At 40.6% G+C, this 21,411-nt stretch overlaps 1 pseudogene; it reads left to right on the top strand.

Moving 5' to 3' along the window:
• DYNC1I2P1 (dynein cytoplasmic 1 intermediate chain 2 pseudogene 1) lies at positions 1,614-3,838 on the top strand (annotated as a pseudogene).
• Positions 3,839-21,411: the final 17,573 nt, after the last annotated feature.

Consider the following 21,411-nt stretch of genomic DNA (forward strand, 5'->3'; position numbering starts at 1 on the left):
TGGAGTGGACCTCCAGCAAACTCCAACAGACCTGCAGCTGAGGGTCCTGACTGTTAGAAGGGAAACTAACAAACAGAAAGGACATCCACACAAAACTCCATCTGTACATCACCATCATCAAAGACCAAAGGTAGATAAAACCACAAAGATGGGGAAAAAACAGAGCAGAAAAACTGGAAACTCTAAAAAGCAGAGCGCCTCTCCTCCTCCAAAGGAATGCAGCTCCTCAGCAGCAATGGAACAAAGCTGGATGGAGAATGACTTTGACGAGCTGAGAGAAGAAGGCTTCAGACGATCAAACTACTCCGAGCTAATGGAGGAAGTTCGAACCCATGGCAAAGAAGTTAAAAACCTTGAAAAAAAATTAGACGAATGGCTAACTAGAATAACCAATGCAGAGAAGTCCTTAAAGGACCCAATGGAGCTGAAAACCATGGCACGAGAACTATGTGATGAATGCACAAGCCTCAGTAACTGATGCAATCAACTGGAAGAAAGGGTATCAGTGATGGAAGATCAAATGAATGAAATGAAGCGAGAAGAGAAGCTTAGAGAAAAAAGAATAAAAAGAAACAAACAAAGCCTCCAAGAAATAAGGGACTATGTGAAAAGACCAAACCTACATCTGATTGGTGTACCTGAAAGTGACGGGGAGAAGGGAACCAAGTTGGAAAACACTCTGCAGGATATTATCCAGGAGAACTTCCCCAATCTAGCAAGGCAGGCCAACATTCAAATTCAGGAAATACAGAGAATGCCACAAAGATACTCCTTGAGAACGGCAACTCCAAGACAAATAATTGTCAGATTCACCAAAGTTGAAATGAAGGAAAAAATGTTAATGGCAGCCAGAGAGAAAGGTCGGGTTACCCACAAAGGGAAGCCCATCAGACTAACAGCTGATCTTTTGGCAGAAACTCTACAAGCCAGAAGAGAGTGGGGGCCAATATTCAACATTCCTAAAGAAAAGAATTTTCAACCCAGAACTTCATATCCAGCCAAACTAAGCTTCATAAGTGAAGGAGAAATAAAATACTTTACAGACAAGCAAATGCTGAGAGATTTTGTCACCACCAGGCCTGCCCTGAAAGAGCTCCTGAAGGAAGCACTAAACATGGAAAGGAACAACCGCTACCAGCCACTGCAAAAACATGCCAAATTGTAAAGACCATCCAGGCTAGGAAGAAACTGCATCAACTAATGAGCAAAATTACCAGCTAATATCATAATGACAGGATCAAATTCACACATAGCAATATTAACCTTAAATGTGAATGGGCTAAGTGCTCCAATTAAGACACAGACTGGCAAATTGGATAAAGAGTCAAGACCCATCAGTGTGCTGTATTCAGGAAACGCATTGCACATGCAGAGACACACATAGGCTCAAAATAAATGGATGGAGGAAGATCTACCAAGCAAATGGAAAACAAAAAAAGGCAGGGGTTGCAATCCTAGTCTCTGATAAAACAGACTTTAAACCAACACAGATCAAAAGAGACAAAGAAGGCCATTACATAATGGTAAAGGGATCAATTAAACAAGAAGAGCTAACTATCCTAAATATATATGCACCCAATACAGCAGCACCTAGATTCATAAAGCAAGTCCTGGTTGGTGTTGGGGGCTTAGCCGAGGGACGTTACCGGAAAGTTGCAGGCGGGAGGACTCTTCCCCATCCAGTCACCTGACAGGTCACAAACATGTCAGACAAAAGTGAATTAAAGGCTGAGTTGGAACGTAAGAAGCAGCAACTGGCCCAAATCAGAGAGGAAAAGAAGAGAAAAGAAGAAGAAAGGAAAAAAAAAGAAACAGATCAGAAGAAGGAAGCTGTTGCTCCTGTGCAAGAAGAATCAGATCTTGAAAAAAGAAGAAGAGAAGCTGAAGCATTGCTCCAAAGCATGGGGCTAACTCCAGAATCCCCCATTGTCCCTCCTCCTATGTCTCCATCCTCCAAATCTGTGAGCACTCCAAGTGAAGCTGGAAGCCAAGACTCTGGAGATGGCGCCGTGGGATCTAGACGAGGACCTATTAAACTTGGAATGGCTAAAATCACGCAAGTCGACTTTCCTCCTCGAGAAATTGTCACGTATACAAAGGAAACTCAGACTCCAGTTATGGCTCAACCCAAAAAAGATGAAGAGGAAGATGATGATGTAGTGGCTCCTAAACTACCTATTGAACCTGAAGAAGAGAAAACTTTAAAGAAAGATGAGGAAAATGATAGTAAAGCTCCCCCCATGAGCTGACTGAAGAAGAAAAGCAACAAATCTTGCACTCTGAGGAATTTTTAAGTTTCTTTGACCATTCTACAAGAATTGTAGAAAGAGCTCTTTCTGAGCAGATTAACATCTTCTTTCACTATAGTGGGAGAGATTTGGAAGACAAAGAAGGAGAGATTCAAGCAGGTGCTAAACTGTCATTAAATTGACAATTTTTTGACGAACGTTGGTCAAAGCATCGGGTTGTTAGTTGTTTGGATTGGTCATCTCAGTATCCGGAGTTACTCGTGGCTTCCTATAACAACAATGAAGATGCCCCTCATGAGCCTGATGGTGTGGCCCTTGTATGGAATATGAAATACAAAAAAACTACCCCAGAGTATGTGTTTCACTGCCAGTCAGCTGTGATGTCTGCCACATTTGCAAAATTTCATCCAAATCTTGTTGTTGGTGGTACATATTCAGGCCAAACTGTGCTTTGGGATAACCGTAGCAATAAAAGAACTCCAGTGCAAAGAACTCCACTGTCAGCAGCTGCACACACACACCCTGTATATTGTGTAAACGTTGTTGGAACACAAAATGCTCACAATCTGATTAGCATCTCTACTGATGGAAAAATTTGTTCATGGAGTCTGGACATGCTTTCCCATCCACAGGATAGCATGGAGTTGGTTCATAAACAGTCAAAAGCAGTAGCTGTGACATCTATGTCCTTCCCTGTTGGAGATGTCAACAACTTTGTTGTTGGGAGTGAAGAAGGTTCTGTGTACACAGCATGCCACCATGGCAGCAAAGCTGGAATCAGTGAGATGTTTGAGGGGCATCAAGGACCAATCACTGGCATCCATTGTCATGCAGCTGTTGGAGCAGTAGACTTCTCACATCTTTATGTCACTTCATCATTTGACTGGACAGTAAAGCTTTGGACAACTAAGAATAACAAGCCTTTGTATTCATTTGAAGACAATGCAGACTATGTTTATGATGTTATGTGGTCACCTACCCACCCAGCCCTGTTTGCCTGTGTGGATGGCATGGGGAGATTGGATTTGTGGAATCTCAATAATGACACAGAGGTACCAACTGCCAGCATTTCTGTGGAGGGTAATCCTGCTCTTAATCATGTGAGATGGACCCATTCTGGCAGAGAGATTGCTGTGGGTGATTCTGAAGGACAGATTGCTATATACGATGTGGGAGAGCAGATTGCTGTTCCCCGCAATGATGAATGGGCATGGTTTGGCTGAACACTTGCAGAAATTAATGCAAACCGAGCTGATGCAGAGGAGGAAGCAGCTACCCGAATACCTGCTTAGTTCCTGAAAAGGGGAGTGTAACTAGTGGATTTGGGAAAGGTTCTTAAGTAGATCCTGAGACTATTTGCATGCTTCTATCTAAATGATAATTAAAAGGAAATTTCATGGATTAAACCATGGGTTTAATGCAGCAAGGAAACTTACAATGTCCCTTTATATATAACATGCATCTTGTTTTGGATTTGTGTCATTTTTTAATATAGCTGATTGACTTCACAGAAAGCAGCTTTTTTGAATTCTAATACATAGGTGTATATTTGGTATTAGTTATTTTGAGTTCTTTTCAACTTATAACACTGTATACAGTTATTTCTAAAGCACAGATGAAATAAGTTCTGCATATTTTTAAATAATCACAGTTCCCTGTTATACAGATAATGTTCTCACTACCCATAATATGTAGGAACATTGTTTCTCCTTAGCCGTAGTATGCATACACCTATCCATGTTCATTCTGACATCCTTTGTTGTCTTTATAATTCATGTGGTAGTTACCTATAAATAAAAACAAATATGAGTTAAAAAAAAAAAAAGCAAGTCCTTAGAGACCTACAAAGAGACTTAGACTCCCACACAATAATAATGGGATGTTTTAACACCCCACTATCAACATTACACAGATCCACGAGACAGAAAGTTAACAAGCATATCCAGGAACTGAACTCAGCTCTGCACCAAGCAGACCTAATAGATATCTACAGACCTCTCCATCCCAAATCAACAGAATATACATTCTTTTCAGCACCACACCACACCTATTCCAAAATTGACCACATAGTTGGAAGTAAAGCACTCCTCAGCAAATGTAAAAGAACAGAAATTATAACAAACTGTCACTCAGACCACAGTGCAATCAAACTAGAACTCAGGATTAAGAAACTCACTCAAAACTGCTCAACTACATGGAAACTGAACAACCTGCTCCTGAATGACTACTGGGTACAAAACGAAATGAAGGCAGAAATAAAGATGTTCTTTGAAACCAACGAGAACAAAGACACAACATACCAGAATCTCTGGGACACATTCAAAGAAGTGTGTAGAGAGAAATTTATAGCACTAAATGCCCACAAGAGAAAGCAGGAAAGATCTAAAATTGACACCCTAACATCACAATTAAAAGAACTAGAGAAGCAAGAGCAAATACATTCAAAAGCTAGCAGAAGGCAAGAAATAACTAAGATCAGAGCAGAACTGAAGGAAATAGAGACACAAAATACCCTTCAAAAAATCAATGAATCCAGGAGCTGGTTTTTTGAAAAGATCAGCAAAATTGATAGACCACTAGAAAGACTAATAAAGAAGAAAAGAGAGAATAATCAAATAGACGCAATAAAAAATGATAAAACGGATATCACCACTGATCCCACAGAAATACAAACTACCATCAGAGAATACTGTAAACACCTCTATACAAATAAACTAGAAAGTCTAAAAGAAATGGATAAATTCCTCGACACATACACCCTCCCAAGACTAAACCAGGAAGAAGTTGAATCTCCGAATAGACCAATAACAGGCTCTGAAATTGAGGCAATAATTAATAGCTTACCAACCAAAAAAAGTCCAGGACCGGATGGATTCATAGCCAAATTCTACCAGAGGTATAAGGAGGAGCTGGTACCATTCCTTCTGAAACTATTCCAATCAATAGAAAAAGAGGGAATCCTCCCTAACTCATTTTATGAGGCCAGCATCATCCTGATACCAAAGCCTAGCAGCAACATAACAAAAAAAGAGAATTTCAGACCAATATCCCTGATGAAAATCGATGCAAAAATCCTCAATAAAATATTGGCAAACCGAATCCAGCAGCACATCAAAAAGCTTATGCACCATGATCAAGTGAGCTTCATCCCTAGGATGCAAGGCTGGTTCAACATATGCAAATCAATAAATGTAATCCAGCATATAAACAGAACCAAAGACAAAAACCACGTGATTATCTCAATAGATGCAGAAAAGGCCTTTGACAAAATTCAACAACCCTTCATGCTAAAAACTCTCAATAAATTAGGTATTGATGGGATGTATCTCAAAATAATAAGAGCTATCTATGACAAACCCACAGCTAATATCATAATGAATGGGCAAAAACTGGAAGCATTCCCTTTGAAAACTGGCACAAGATAGGGATGTCCACTCTCACCACTCCTATTCAACATAGTGTTGGAAGTTCCGGCCAGGGCAATCAGGCAGGAGAAGGAAATAAAGGGTATTCAATTAGGAAAAGAGGAAGTCAAATTGTCCCTGTTTGCAGATGACATGATTGTATACCTAGAAAACCCCATCATCTCAGCCCAAAATCTCCTTAAGCTGATAGGCAACTTCAGCAAAGTCTCAGGATACAAAATCAATGTGCAAAAATCACAAGCATTCTTATACACCAATAACAGACAAACAGAGAGCCAAATCATGAGTGAACTTCCATTCACAATTGCTTCAAAGAGAATAAAATACCTAGGAATCCAACTTACAAGGGATGTGAAGGACCTCTTCAAGGAGAACTACAAACCACTGCTCAATGAAATAAAAGAGGATACAAACAAATGGAAGAACATTCCATGCCCATGGGTAGGAAGAATCAACATTGTGAAAATGGCCATACTGCCCAAGGTAATTTATAGATTGAATGCCATCCCCATGAAGCTACCAATGACTTTCTTCACAGAATTGGAAAAAACTACTTTAAAGTTCATATGGAACAAAAAAAGAGCCCACATTGCCAAGTCAATCCTAAGCCAAAAGAACAAAGCTGGAGGCATCACGCTACCTGACTTCAAAGTATACTGCAAGGCTACAGTAACCAAAACAGCATGGTACTGGTACCAAAACAGAGATATAGATCAATGGAACAGAACAGAGCCCTCAAAAATAATGCCACATATCTACAACTATCTCATCTTTGACAAATCTGACAAAAACAAGAAATGGGGAAAGGATTCCCTATTTAATAAATGGTGCTGGGAAAATGGGCTAGCCATATGGAGAAAGCTGAAACTGTATCCCTTCCTTACACCTTATACAAAAATTAATTCAAGATGGATTAAAGACTTAAATGTTAGACCTAAAACCGTAAAAACCCTAGAAGAAAACCTAGGCAATACCAGTCAGGACATAGGCATGGGCAAGGACTTCATGTCTAAAACACCAAAAGCAATGGCAACAGAAGCCAAAATTGACAAATGGGATCTAATTAAACTAAAGAGCTTGTGGACAGCAAGAGAAACTACCATCAGAGTGAACAGGCAACCTACAGAGTGGGAGAAAATTTTTGCAATCTACTCATCTGACAAAGGGCTAATATCCAGAATCTACAAAGAACACAAACAAATTTACAAGAAAAAAAAAAACCCATCAACAAGTGGGCGAAGGATATGAACAGACACTTCTCAAAAGAAGACATTTATGCAGCCAAAAGACACATGAAAAAATGCTCATCATCACTGACCATCAGAGAAATGCAAATCAAAACCACAATGAGATACCATCTCACACCAGTTAGAATGGAGATCATTAAAAAGTCAGGAAACAACAGGTGCTGGAGAGGATGTGGAGAAATAGGAACACTTTTACACTGTTGGTGGGACTGTAAACTAGTTCAACCATTGTGGAAGTCAGTGTGGCAATTCCTCAGGGATCTAGAACTAGAAATACCATTTGACCCAGCAATCCCATTACTGGGTATGTACCCACAGGATTATAAATCATGCTGCTATAAAGAGACACGCACACATATGTTTATTGTGGCACTATTCACAATAGCAGAGACTTGGAACCAACCCAAATGTCCAAAAATGATAGACTGGATTAAGAAAATGTGGCACATATACACCATGGACTACTATGCAGCCATAAAAAATGATGAGTTCATGTCCTTTGTAGGGACATGGATGAAGCTGGAAACCATCATTCTCAGCAAACTATCGCAAGGACAAAAAACCAAACACCACATGTTCTTACTCATAGGTGGGAATTGAACAATGAGAACACATGGACACAGGAAGGGGAATATCACACACCAGGGCCTGTTGTGGGTTGGTGGGGAGGGATAGCATTAGGAGATATACCTAATGTTAAATGACAAGTTATTGGGTGCAGCACACCAACGTGGCACATGTATACATATGTAACAAACCTGCACGTTGGGCGCATGTATCCTTAAACTTAAAGTATAATAAAAAAAAATTAAACATAAAAAAAAGAGAACAGCACAGATGTGATGATCAATAACAATGGGTGTGGATGAGACAATAGGAACCCCTGCCAGACTGTCACAGTCAGAAAATATGTGCCCCATCTAAAGGGAACTGTCACTACTCATTGGTGCCATGAGAAAATGCAGGCCCAATGTTGACGGATCCTCCCATTTCTTTTAATGACAAGTCAGTAATGCAGGTGTTTATCTCAAATTTCTTGATTTTCAAATGTCGGCCAACAATTCCTAAAAAAGAAACCCAAACATGTTTATCGCTCTTCAGATCAACACTATGCAGGACAAAATGAAAATAGGTTGTCCACAAGTTGCAACCTCTGATTTAATCCATTCTTTCATTCACAAATACTTTCCGAGCATCTATGGAGTACCAGACACTGTGCTAGAACAAAAGGATACAATTCATAAGATGAAGTTCCTGCCCTAAAAATATTACAATCAAATGTCAAAATAGAGATGATGTCCAAGTAATTACAGTATTGAACTGTGAGTACCTCTGGGGTATGTAAGAGGAAACCCTAACCCAGACTTGAAGAGGATCAGAAATAGCTTTGACAGGTGGAGATCAGAAAGGTAGCTGTTAACTTAGTGCAACTCTGGCTGCATAACAAACCACCCCAAAACGTAATAGTTTAAAATAACAACAATGTGTTATCTCATAATCTTGTGCATTAACAATTTGGGCTGGGCCCGGCTAGATAGCTCTGACTTGAGACTTTCTAATCCATCAACCAACAGAGAGCTGCTGGGTTGGTTGGGTGTTGTGTGGGGACTGTGGTTTGGGATAGCCTCAGCTTGGACCACTTGTCTCTCCTCCACATCATCTCTCATTCTCCAGCAGGCTAGCCCAGGTTTGTTCACATGGCAGCTGAACAAGCTTCCAAGAGAATGAGTGAAAACATGCAAGCCTTTTGATGCTGAGGCTCAGAACTGGCACAATGAACTTCCTCTGCATTCCCTGTTACCAAAATAAGCAAGTCCCAGAACCAGCCCAGATTCAAGGGGAGGGGAAATTGTCTCCACCTAGTGATGGGAAGTCACACTGAAAGGTGTGGTCACAGGGGTGGGTGAAGGACTGTGGCTATTTTGGTAATGTACTTCACCTGATAAGAAGGCATGATGTGCGCAAGACCTGAAGATAATTGAGACAGAACATGGAGTTTGGGACATTCCAAGTTGTTTAGGATGGCAGGAGCAGAGAAGGCAAAGGGGTTTGAGGGAAGGCATGACAAGCGTGGTCAGAAGTCAGATCATACAGGACCTACCATGTATGCAGCCCAGTGAAATAGAGAATCTTGGGTTTTTTGTTTGTTTGTTTGTTTTGTTTTTATGGCTTTCTCGTAAAAAAAAAAAGATTATTTTGCCAATACAAGACAATAATTGCAAAATAAATACAATGTAAGCTTAAACATAGCATCCTAAATAAAATGTTCTGGGGACTCATAAAGAAGATATATCTTATCTAGTTTGAAAAATTACAGAAGTTGTCATTAAAATGTAGAATTCAAACTGAACTTTGAAGGACAAAAAGGATTTTGCCAGGCAGGGTTATAGAGGTGAGGCAAAAGATGAGCATCCACCAAAGTGCAAGAATGGGAAAACCCAGAACATATGGAATCGCAAGCATCGTGGCTTGGCTAAGACGAGGGCAGCAGTTCTCAATCTTATTTTACATTAACCTCCTGAAAGATGATATTCATATGTAACTCTCCCACATTCATACCCTGATTATGCCAGAGTTAAGACAGGCTATGGAGTTATGCACAATTGCCAGCTGTCGGACTATAATCCCACCCTCTCTCGCCCCATGGTCCATTGTGAGGCTGAGTCTGAGATCTGCTAATGCAGGCTTTTGTAGGGGAGCCATGACGATTGCACCTGAAATAAGTTACGGACAGAGCCTGGAGGTGCTTAAATGCCAGGCTAAGGGATTTAATGTTAGTGAAGGCAGTTAAGAGTCCCTGAACATTTTTAAGCAGGACAGTACAAATAGAGCTGCGTTTTGCCAATATTCATCTGGCAGAAGTGGGTAAGTAGAGCAGGGAGAGTCTAAGAGAGGATGCTTCTTCCCTATCCCTGAACCACCACAGGCATGATGAATTGATCGAGGGACTTATTTCTGAGAAGCCCAAGCAGATCCTCCAAATTCTTCTCAGCATAGTGTTCTAATGGCGGGGGAAGGGGTGGAGCTAAAAAGTCAATTGAAACCTAATGGACACCCTTGGACTGAAGACAGTCAGCTCTTTAAGAGGTGAGACATCATTTAGGTGGGAAGCAGAGCCAGGGCGGCGTTTGGAAGTGGAAGTGGAAGTGGAAATGAAAAGGAAGAATACTTTGAGAAGTGTTAGCAAAGTGTGTCTGTATGACTTGGCACTTGTTTCATGTTGGGGGGGTGAAGGGGAGGGGCAACTAAATATCATTCCAATTTTTTGAGCTTATGAGAGAATATGGAGCCATTACCTACAATAAGAAATGAGAAAACAAACTGATTAGGAAGGGAAGAAGAATATAGATGGAGTTTGAGTCTTTAGTATAAACTTCAGGCCTAAGATTATTAGAATGAAGGCTGAGGCTAAAGTTTGTAAGAATAAACACATAAACATGAATCTCATGAACACGGGATTTCCCCCAAGATACTCAGCAGCATTGAATGAATGCACAGGGGAGAGAAGTCAATTTCTTATTTCCCCTAAAAATACTACATTATCACTCAAGAGTCCTGGCAGAACCAAAAACAACTGGAAAGGAGAAAAAGTAAATGCAAAAGAATTTTGGGTTTTTTTTTCTGCATAAGAGAGGAGTAGGAGAAATGGCTCCTGCATTGAACACTTGACCATGGCTGCACAAGTGGAAACCACAGCATCCTACCCCGTCTTTCAGCCTTTGCTCTGTGTCTGGAGTTTTGACATAATAGGACATGTGAAAGACTTGATCAAATTATGAAATGTATTGTTCTGCTACCTCCTGATAGAGATAGTTTGTCATGCAACAAAAGTGAGTGCCTATGTTCAGAGGAGGGGAGCTGAATTTCAAGTCATTCCCCTTTCAAGGAGGCAATAAATAATTGTGGGTTTTGAGTATGGATTCTGGATTAAGATTTATTGAGTTCCAATCCCAGCACTACCCTAATATGAGGTTCACTTAATTTCTCTTTGATCCATTCTTTCATCTGTAAAATGGGCCTAATAATAGTATCCATCTCTTAAGGTCATTGTGAGAAGTAAACAAGAAGTACATATTAAGTTCACCCAATTATTAAATACAATTGTTTCATAATTACCTTTTTAGTATAGATGCTCTTATCAAGTGCTAATGAATAATTCTTATACATTAATATAATCCATGGAGAGTTCTCACATTTTCTAAAATGAAAATCCCTTTGGTTTAGGTTTAGCATGACTGGATAAGAATCTTTAAGGACCTGTACATGAATGAATGCCTCCTATAAAGAAAGCTCTTAGAGGCTTCCCCAATCTCTGAGACGACATAAAGTGATCTTAGCCATAGAGTTCATCTGCTATGGGGTGCCAGTCATACCCTGTCTCCATGGATATGAGATTAGGAAGATGGATTTTGAAAAATGACCTTCCACATTGGGGTTTGGAGAACTTCTTGTTTCTACTTCCATTAACTCAGAAAAGGTAAAGGAGCTAAAAAGTATTCAAGTACTCTTCATTTCAGCTACAAAGATTTCCTTATAAATTTTTCCTCCTTAGGGGAGACCCCATCTCTAAAATAATAATAATAATAATAATAAATAAAAATAATTTAGCCAAGCATGGTGGTGCACGCCTGTGGTCCCAGCTACTAGGAAGGTTGAAGTGGGAGAATCTCTTTAGCCTGGGAGGTTTAGGCTAGAATGAGCCGTGACTGCACCACTGCACTCCAGCTTGGGCAAGAGAGCAAGACTCTGTCTCAATTAAAAAATGTCAATTAAAAAAAAAACTCCCACTCTTATAGTAACATACAGATGGAATTATGTGACTGATTAAGCAGGATGAGAAGTTTGAGCACTTACGAAAGTAGTAGCCTTCCCTGGAAAGGTGACTTGCCCAGAATACTCCCCATTTGCAAACTCTTAAAGAGTTGTCTTGCTAACAAAAATTGATCTTGGATCTGTCATGATGTCCTATAACAATACAAAGCCATTTTTTCCTCCTAATTTCTTAAACCAGAACATCATGTCTTTATGAAAGAATTTTTGCAAAAATATTGGCGGTGGTGAGATGCCAAATGTTAACACCTGGCTCTTCAGGAATAAAAGCTCTAATGTGTAACATTCACCCTCCTCTATGGTGTGAATACTCCTACCATAATTACTTTCAAACAATCAAATGACATTGCTGAAAGTGAAGCTGGGAAGGTCTGCACACAATTGGTTCTGACGAGCCAATATGAGCTGTCCCCAACACACCATTGTCCCTGTACAAGCCACCTCTTAGGCCACCAATGAGGCGTTTCTCAAGTCAACTTTCAGATGACAATGCCGCCCTCGGAGCTGGAAAAGCAATGGGGAGCAGGAATTGAGACTGGATTCTCCAGGTGGTGTCAAAACCATACCCACCCAGTGCAGACTGCTTTGTTTTGTATCATGAATAGGTTTTGAGGCTTTTCCTTATGTCAGCTGCTTTTCCCAGACCAGGCCAGTCTAAAAGAGCAATCAGGAAATGTGGGTAACAATAAAAACAATATTGAAAACAGTTCCAGGAGATTCTCTGAGACTTTCAGGGGTCTCTTTCCTGGCAGAGTCCCAAAAAGCTCATGTCACACTCCTGAGTGGACAATAAATTCTCCTTCCCAGTCACCAATGGCATTATCTGCACTGCCCTCTGGTGGCTTCCGTGGCTGCCATAATCTGGTGATGACTGAGCCCTGACCACCTTCTCTTCAAATGTCTTATTGTGGCTGAAGCTTTTCTCAGTAAGATGTGTAGAGAAGCCTCACTGAATCATAGGTACAACCGTTATTGGACTCCACTTTTCTGAAGGAATTTGGGACAAATTCCCTCATACTGAATGGGAAGACAGTTGAGCAGCAAAACTTAGAATTAAATTGGCTTTGAGTCACATAGTCCCTTGCTACAGGGAGCTCTGGGGTGTCAGAGTTCCCTTCTCGCTCAGATGATCCCTGACACTCAAATCTAGTGATATGGGGTGATTCCTGTTTTGGAGTCTTGATCCTGGAGAGGAGTAACTGGCCATCTCAAGGCTTCTATTTCCATTTTTTCATGGGTACCCATTTCACTCTGATGCTAGCAAAACTCCTAGTGCCTGCCACAAGGGACAGTTCAGATTAGCTTGGTTCCTTTCCTCCCTCTCCATGATGTATTTGCACTGGAAATGAGATGTATCCTCCACTTTTCTCATCTACGTTGACTTGACCTTGCCTCTTAGCAGAGAAGCAGGTGCTTCTTTCTCTGAGGAGGACATTAAGAGACTGGCAAAGTGTCACTGCAGAGAGGCTCTGGAAAGGTGCCAATCTGGAAGAACTTCAGAGTCTGCTCCTGGCTGCTTTAACCAATGAGGCAAGATTTCCAGGTATCACCTCACATCGCAGCTCTTTTCCTTTGTCAGCAGTGATAGGAATGGGGCTTGCCTTCCTCATCCTCCTACCAAGAATCTACTTCACGGGACTGTGGAGGCAACACAGAGAAAGAGTGTGTAGTAGTGCTGTGTGAACTACAGAGTGCTCAAAAGATGTTATTTATTGGAATGATGATCCCGCAGGCAAAGTTAATTGCATAATCCATTTCTTCCTCTTAAGCTTTGTACACTCTCCTGTTTTGGTACTCAATATGTAATGAGTGTGTGTGTCTCCATTAGATGATTTGGAGTTAGAGTTCCATCCTATTCCTCTCTGTCCCCAACACCTATGCAGAGGTTGGCATCCAGGATCCCGATTCTACAAATGGATCAACTGAACCCCAAGAAAGTTCAAAGAGCTAACAAGTTGCAGATATAGGATTTGAATTCACATCTCTTGACTCCAACTGCAGAGATCACATCACCCTGACATGTGATAGATTCTCAAAAAAATGCCTAATGAATATATTTGTGAATAAACCTTCCTCTTCTTTAACCCTTGCCTTAGGATATCTGCTCTGGTATTGTACATTGAAAGAGCAATCAGGAATTGTGGGTAATAACAAAAACAACATTGAAAACAGTTCCAGGAGATCCTATCTTCACATAATTAGACAACTACTAAATACATCAAATAAATTAACCAGCTGGTTGACATATGAAGTGGTGTAGAGGCTGAACAAGGATACTACAGGAGCTTCAAGTTGTAGGGAAAAGTAGCAGGATGCAGGAGGCACAAAACCAGGAGTAGACTTGATGGCCATCTGAGGGCAGAAGCACTTGCTATAAGACAAGGGTCATCTCACCTCAAGGATAATGCACATCAGTGGCTTTTACGAGGTTTCACTTATGAAACCCCTAAAAGAATTTTTTAATATCATCTACTCCCTTGCACATTTTTTGGAAATGACATCTAAAACTCTTATAGGCTTAAATAGAACTTAGTTGCAAGACATATTATCTAATTTTCTGTATACCGTACACATATTTTAAATGTAGTTTGGCTAATACTTTGAACAGCAGAATCAACGTATTAAATTTACAGAAAATATCCACCACAGATGCTAATTAGCCAAACCAACTTCATCATCAAATCAGGCAGTGCAATCAGAATTGTTGCTTAAAAAAAAAAAAAGCCTGCAATTTTTACTTCCAATAAAGGCATTCATACATATACCCTGTCCCCATGATAACCTTCTCACTCCTCAACTATAGTTCTAAGACAGTCAGAGACAAGGCACAGAGCCTTTGGCATGAGTTTGAAACCAGGACAAAATGAGATACGATCTGTTTCTTTTTGCTTTGCTCTTACTGAACCCTTCCTCTGAATCAATGTGTACTGAAATCATCCATTTGTGTGACACCAGGAGATCCCTATACTCCTTGGGAGTGTCCCACAGTGAGATTCCAAGTGTGTGAGAAGTTCATCTTTATTTTCTGAAGCAGGAAAACTCAGATGAATTCCTGGGCAAAAAAAAAAAAAAAAAAAAAAAAAAGTTTGGAAAAGAGTTCAAATGGAAGTTGAGGACCTGGACACTGATTCCCTCCAATATTGACTATTCCCAGGGGCTCCTGAAAGTCTTCAGTCACCTTCACCTCCACCACTATACACAATGTTTTCCAGATCCTGCTCTCATGCCCCAGTTCCCCTCTTTCCAGGACTCGGTAGTATCCTCAATCTGGCTTCATTGACCACCACTGAGGCACCTGCCCAAGTTTTTTTTTTTTTTTTTTTTTTTTGGTTGCCAGCCCCCAGCTTTCAGAGCCCAGCCTCCAAATTCCTGGTTCTTGCTACCTTTCCTTCCTCTTGGCAATGCTCAGGGACAGCAATTTTAAAGAGGCATTAAACCGATTTGTACAAAAGTATTAATGACTAATAGCCTGCCCAAGTTTTAAGGTACTGTTTGCATCTTTCAAAAGAAACTTGTTTACCAAAGGAGCCTCCCATTGGTTGGAAATTCAGGATAATATAAGAGAAGCTGTGGGGGCTGGGGAGAAAATATTCTAGATGATTCCAAGACAGTTGAAGACCATCTTGAATGCTGTTCTGGGAAGCAGTCACTTGTTAGGTAGGATCTAAGCCTGACAAGCAATATTCCATATTTTCAATCTGCAAGGGATGCTATTTCCTATAACTGGGAAAAAGTCCCCAGTGTCCTATAGTCAGTTGGTGGCTGATACTGCAGTGCTAGGATTGAGATAGAATGAGATCCAGGCAAACTTTACTTAAGTCCCTGTATCCTTGGAAATTTTATCAAATCCAAGTCTTTTTGGGTAGTTCTAGTCTACTCTGAGTCTTAGATATTTTTAAATTCATAGAAAAGAAAAAGACATTCAAAGTGATGGGAAAGGCCAGTGAGTCAATCTCGGAGACTCATTAAAAGAACTGGGAATCTGAAGGTTATTTCAGGGCACACTGCATACACCTGAGGCCGAATTTGTCAGGTTGTAAGAAAGAAAATGACCATATTCAAGATGAAGTTTCTCTCATTCAGGCATATGGTAAATTTGGAGAAGTTTGTTCTCTAAGTCTAAGGATTTGATTCTTGCCTTCCAAAATGGCCTAGGAAGATGGATTTATGCCACTTAGCTTCACCAATTCAGTAAATAACTCTTCAAATGAAATCCATATCTCTGAATGTAAATATGAAGATTCACAGAAAGAACAGCAAAAAGATATCATTTGAATTAGACTGTAACCATGACATTCAAATGACCTGACCACACAGCACTGGAATCCAGATAGAATTAAAGAAAATCTGCCATTGCAATCAGAAACATAAGTGAATATGAGGAAACTACCCTTCCACTCCCCTGCTCCCAACTACTTATTTTCATGATAAACAGCAGGTTAATAAACATCTGTTCCTTCTCAGTGTCCAAGGGATCTTGTTTGCAAACATCAACCACAATTGCTTTGTTCTCTCAGGAGAAAACAAAACACTTTCAATCAAAGCAAAGCTACATACCCAGACCTGCTGCAGCAGCTGCTTGTTCAAAACCGCATGTCATTCCCCTGCAAGCCAGAGTGCTGGGACGCTTTGGTATCCTCTGCCCCTGCTCTTCTGAGCAGTGCTGCAGGTTAACTCTGGGAGGCTGGACACTCTAACCAGGGAAGCCCAAGCCTCGCCAGCTTAACTACTTATGTGCTGACTCATGCGCAGGGCAGGACACACCTCTGCTGAGCCTGCTGATGGACAAACCCCTGCACCATCCTTGGAAGGTCACACCTAGAGTTCTTCATTTTGCACCCTGAACAAACGTAACCTAGGAGATGGTCATTCATTTTTTCATACTGACCTGCTTGTCCTATTTGGTTTGGAAAATAAATATTTAATTCTTTCTCTACCCTATCAACTACATACCACTGAGAGGAGACTTTACGGGACAAATCAGCACAGAGATGTAAGTTAAGACCACTTTGGATGAATGAGTTAAGCTCTGGGAGAGAAGATGCCCCCATTTTTCTAGAGGAATTACAAATATATGGAGGAAACTGATTGCAGGTAATCACCTTGGTACTTTTAGGAAGCAAACGAGACCATGTTTACATTTTCCTGTTGTCCTTTCCAAGCAAAACCAAAAATCAACATTCTGCAGTATTGCCTTCATTTTAATCTACCTGGAAGTTGGTAGGGTTCCCAGGGGAAAAGTTCATTCTTCTAACCCTTTGGGCTCAGATTAGCAGGTATCAAAGGTAGGGAAAAGAAAGCAGAAGTTTTTAATGTTTGATTAGATCTTTGAAGTTTGCTTCATTCTACCCATGCCAATATGCAAGAGGCAAATATATAGTTTTCTTTAGGCTATGACAGAGTCCACCATGGGACTTGCATGGAAGTAGAAGTTGAGTGCAAGGCAGACAGGAGTGGTACAAGTGTTTGGTTAAAAAAAAAAAACAAAACAGGAATTGCTGACGGCAAGCATGAAGTAGACTTGCAGTCCTGTGGGCTTTGGAGTGAGAGAGTTACTGCAGAGGCTCTCGCTTCTTCCCACTGACTGGAGCTGCAGTGTTGCCAGCTGAGCTTCATTAGCTACTAATTGGGCTCCAAGGCTCTGGGGCTCCTTTATCTAAAGGTCAAGAGGCTACAGAAAAGGAAGCGAAAATCCACCTGTGCACAGAACACAACTTGTAAACTGATGTGTAATAATAGTAATAATAATCACAGTGATAACTATAACAGCAGACACAACGTTGAATGCTTACTGTATGCCAACAAATTGGCTGCTTTACTTACATTCTGTAGCAAGGACTGTTACCTCTTCAACAAAATCTGTTTTTCCTTCTCCTTCCCAGCCTGCCCTGCCATCAGGATAGCCATATAACTGAGATCTGGACAATGGAAAGTGAGGAAAATTGAAATGCACTAATTCCATTCTTGGTCTATGAAATCTTCCCCATGTGTGATCCTCTAGGTTCCAGGCACAGACTTGGAGGGAGAGATCCACCATGACCTTGGAGATATGGGAGAAAGAAAATGAAAAGCCTCCATCAAAATGAATAACCACATGGAGGAGAGCTGCTGACCTTTGCAATTACTTTTAACTTATGGGGGGAAATGAATGCCAATCTAAAAATGTGCTTTTCAAAATTATTTTAGGGCCATGTAAGCAAAACAGTTTGGAGACCACTTGTATATAAAGACTAGAATCCTTAACTAGGTGTCTTAGTCCGTTTTCCATTGCTATAAAGGAATATCTGAGGCTGGGTAATTTACAAAGAAAAGAGGTTCATTTAGTTCAAGGTCCTGCAGGCTTTACAGGAAGCAGGGCACTAGGATCTGCTTTTGATGAGGCCTCAGGAAGCTTCCAGTCACGGCAGAAGGGGAAGCAGAGCTAATGTGTCACATGGTAAGAGAGGGAGCAAGAGACAGAGAGAGAGGAAAAGGATGTCATGTCCTTTTAAACACCCATGTAAATGGAGCGAAAACTCACTCATTACCATGGAGGGCACCAAGCGATTCATGAGGAATCCGCCCCTTGACTCAGTCACCTCCCACAGGCCTCACCTCCAACAATGGGGATCAAATTTCAACATGAGATTTGGAGGGGACAAACATCCAAAAGATATCACCAGGTATTCATATTCACCCTAACCCAACCAAACCTTTCACTTCATATTTGACTCTGACACCTCTCCTGGTCATTCTCTCATTCCAGACACACAAGTCTCTTTATGGTTCTTGTTTTCTTTTTTTCTCCTCTGCTGTCTCACCCCGACTGTAGTTCAGTGGCACAATCAGAACCCACTGTAACCTCGAACTCTTGGACTCAAGTCATCCTCCTGCCTCAGCCTCCCAATCTTTATGGTTCTTGAATGTATCCGTACTTTCCTGTCTCTGCTCTAACTTTTATTCTCCCCCTAAACACTTTGCCAACAACCCTCCTCTTAACTGAATCTTATCTTGATGCTGAGGCAGTCTGAAAAACACGGCTGCTAACCCTTTGACCCTCCATCTATCAAGAGGTGGGGCTCTGTGTCCTTTCCACTTCAATCTGAACAGGTTTGTGACTGTCAATACAGAATGTGAAAGTGATGTCATGTGACTCTTGAGGCTGGGTCACATATGGCCTTGCAGCTTCCTCCGTGTCCTGGAAAATTTACTATTAGAACTCTTCACCACTTAAGAACTCTAGAAATTCTGAAGCTCCCACACTGGAGAGACCACATAGCTTTGGTCACTGTTCCGGCTATGCTCATCCTTCCAGCTATCCTCACCAAGGTACCAGATATGTGAATGAAGCAGCAGTGGACCTTTCCAAACTGGTCCATCCACCAGCTGAATACCTTGGAGTGAACTCATCAATGCTACATCGAACAAAAGTGTCACTCAGCTGAGCTCTGCTCAGGTTCCTGACCTACAAAGCCATGAGCTATAATAAAAGTATTATTGTTTTAAGCCACTGTGTTTGAGGGAGTTTTTTTGTAGTAAGAGGTAGCTAGAACACCCCTCCTTTAGGACCCAAGACAAGGGTTCATGTTTTGCAGAAGCATTTTCTGACCACTTTCTGAGTTTTCCCATCCTTTAAATTCTGGTCTTGAATGATTTTTCTTAATATAAGGTGTTGTCCTATTCCACCTGGAGTCATGCTCCTTTTATTTCACCATATCTGTTTTTAGCGCCTTATATAATAGGCCTTTGATAAACATTTGTTGAGAAACAAGAACGGTATTCATATAACATGAGGCATATCTGTAACTGTAAGATGGAGGGCAGAGGCTGGAAGAAGGTAGTGCTCACTAGCTGTCTTTTCTCTTTCCAGGAAACAGAATCTTGATTGTGATGGGCAGGTAGCATTTATCCAATCTGGTATTTATTCATGTATTTACTAAGTGCCTACTATTTGCCAGGCACTTTTTTTAGGCCACAGTGATAAGAGTAATGAACAAAACAATGTCCTTTTCATGGTGCTTCCATTCTAACTGGATAAACAAAAACTAAAACTAAGTATAATCTGGTATGTTATAAGTGCTAAGAAGATGAAAGCAAGACAATAGGTAGAAAAGTTGTTTTATGTAGCATAACCAGAGAGGTCCCCCTTATAAGGTGATATCTCAATAGACACCTGAAGGAATTGGGAAGAGAGTGTTAAGGCTTGGTTCTGCCTGGGGAAAAAGCATTCCAGGAAAAAGGAGTGGCAAGTGTAAATGTCCCCAGAGAAGACTGATGGACTGAAGGAACAGAAAATGGCTAGGGTGATTTGAGCAGAGGAAAAAATGAAGCAGCAGTAGCGTATGGGGTCAAAACTTGCAACGTAGAGGTGCAGGGGTTGAAAGTCTGTAAAGACCTTAGAGAACAATGTGAGGACTAGATTTGCTCCCAATGAGATGGGAAGTCATTAGAGATTTTCAAGCAGGACAGTAGAATGATCTGGCTTTAGGAAACGTATTCTGTTATATGTCACCTAGATTCTGTGCAGATCACACAGTGCAGAGGGTCAAGGTTAGAAGCAATAAGTCTAATCTGGGGGCATTTGCAATATCTAAGCAAGAGACTTAGACTAGAGGGCTAGAAGTGGAGATGATGTGAAGTGTCACACCATGAATACATTTTGAAAGATTTCCTGTTGGTTTTAAAATATAAGAGAGAAATAGGGATCAAGAATAATTCCAAGGCTTTTTGGATTCTAGTACTGACAGAAGGGCATTGACATTTTCTAACATGGAGAAGAGTGTGACAGAAGTAAGTTTGGACAAAGAGAATCAAGCCTTGGGTATCTGCAAAATGGGATTTTTAACTCAAGACCTTATAAAAATGACTTACTACAATTGGTTGACAATAATCTAATATCTGTAAAGACCATAATAGACAAAGGTATTTCCCAAAAGGTGATAGGTTTTTAGGTAGTACAGAGTACACATTTTTTAATTATTACATATTGATTTCATTGTGAATTAGAAATATACAATATATAGAGTAGGGCTAAAGCAATTTTTAATGAAGTCATTTAAAGAAAAACATTAGTTAAGTAATAGTACAAGTGGTAAATAGTTATGGGGAAAAATCATGTTAGTTGTACACTAATAGATAAATTTTGGGAAATACTGAAATACAATTTAATATCCAATTAATTCAAGTATCTGTAAAGATCAGTCTCTGCCACTGAATCCTTTCTGATCCACTACAAATTCTTATTCGTCTTCAGTTGACCAATCGCTGTCTATGACACCCCATCACCACCATTTTTTTTTCACATGAGGACTTCTCGGGGGCAGTGTGTCCTATACCAAAAGCCAAAAATAGCGTGTGTAGATTATTCTCACTCCATGTTTATATATGATTGCTCAAAGTTTGCTCTAATTGGAGTTCTTAGTGATTTGATTGATTTATAGACAAGAATTTGCTTTCCTCCAATAAATGCCGAACAAGGCCAGTTGCTGCCTTAACCCCTCTCTCCTTAGACAGCTCTAAAGGCTGCAGGCAGCTCTGTCTTCAAACTTTAGCAAGTGGTTCCATTTGGGTCTGCCCCTGTGCTGCCAGTGATTTTCAGTCTTTTAGTCTTTCAATCTTTCAGATGACTGTGGTTGGTAGGAAGAATCACCTCCTGCTTAGAGTGGAAACCAGAAAGAAAGT

The sequence above is a fragment of the Homo sapiens genome, chromosome 10 (assembly GCF_000001405.40).
Source record: "Homo sapiens chromosome 10, GRCh38.p14 Primary Assembly".
NCBI classification, from domain to species: Eukaryota; Metazoa; Chordata; class Mammalia; order Primates; family Hominidae; genus Homo; species Homo sapiens.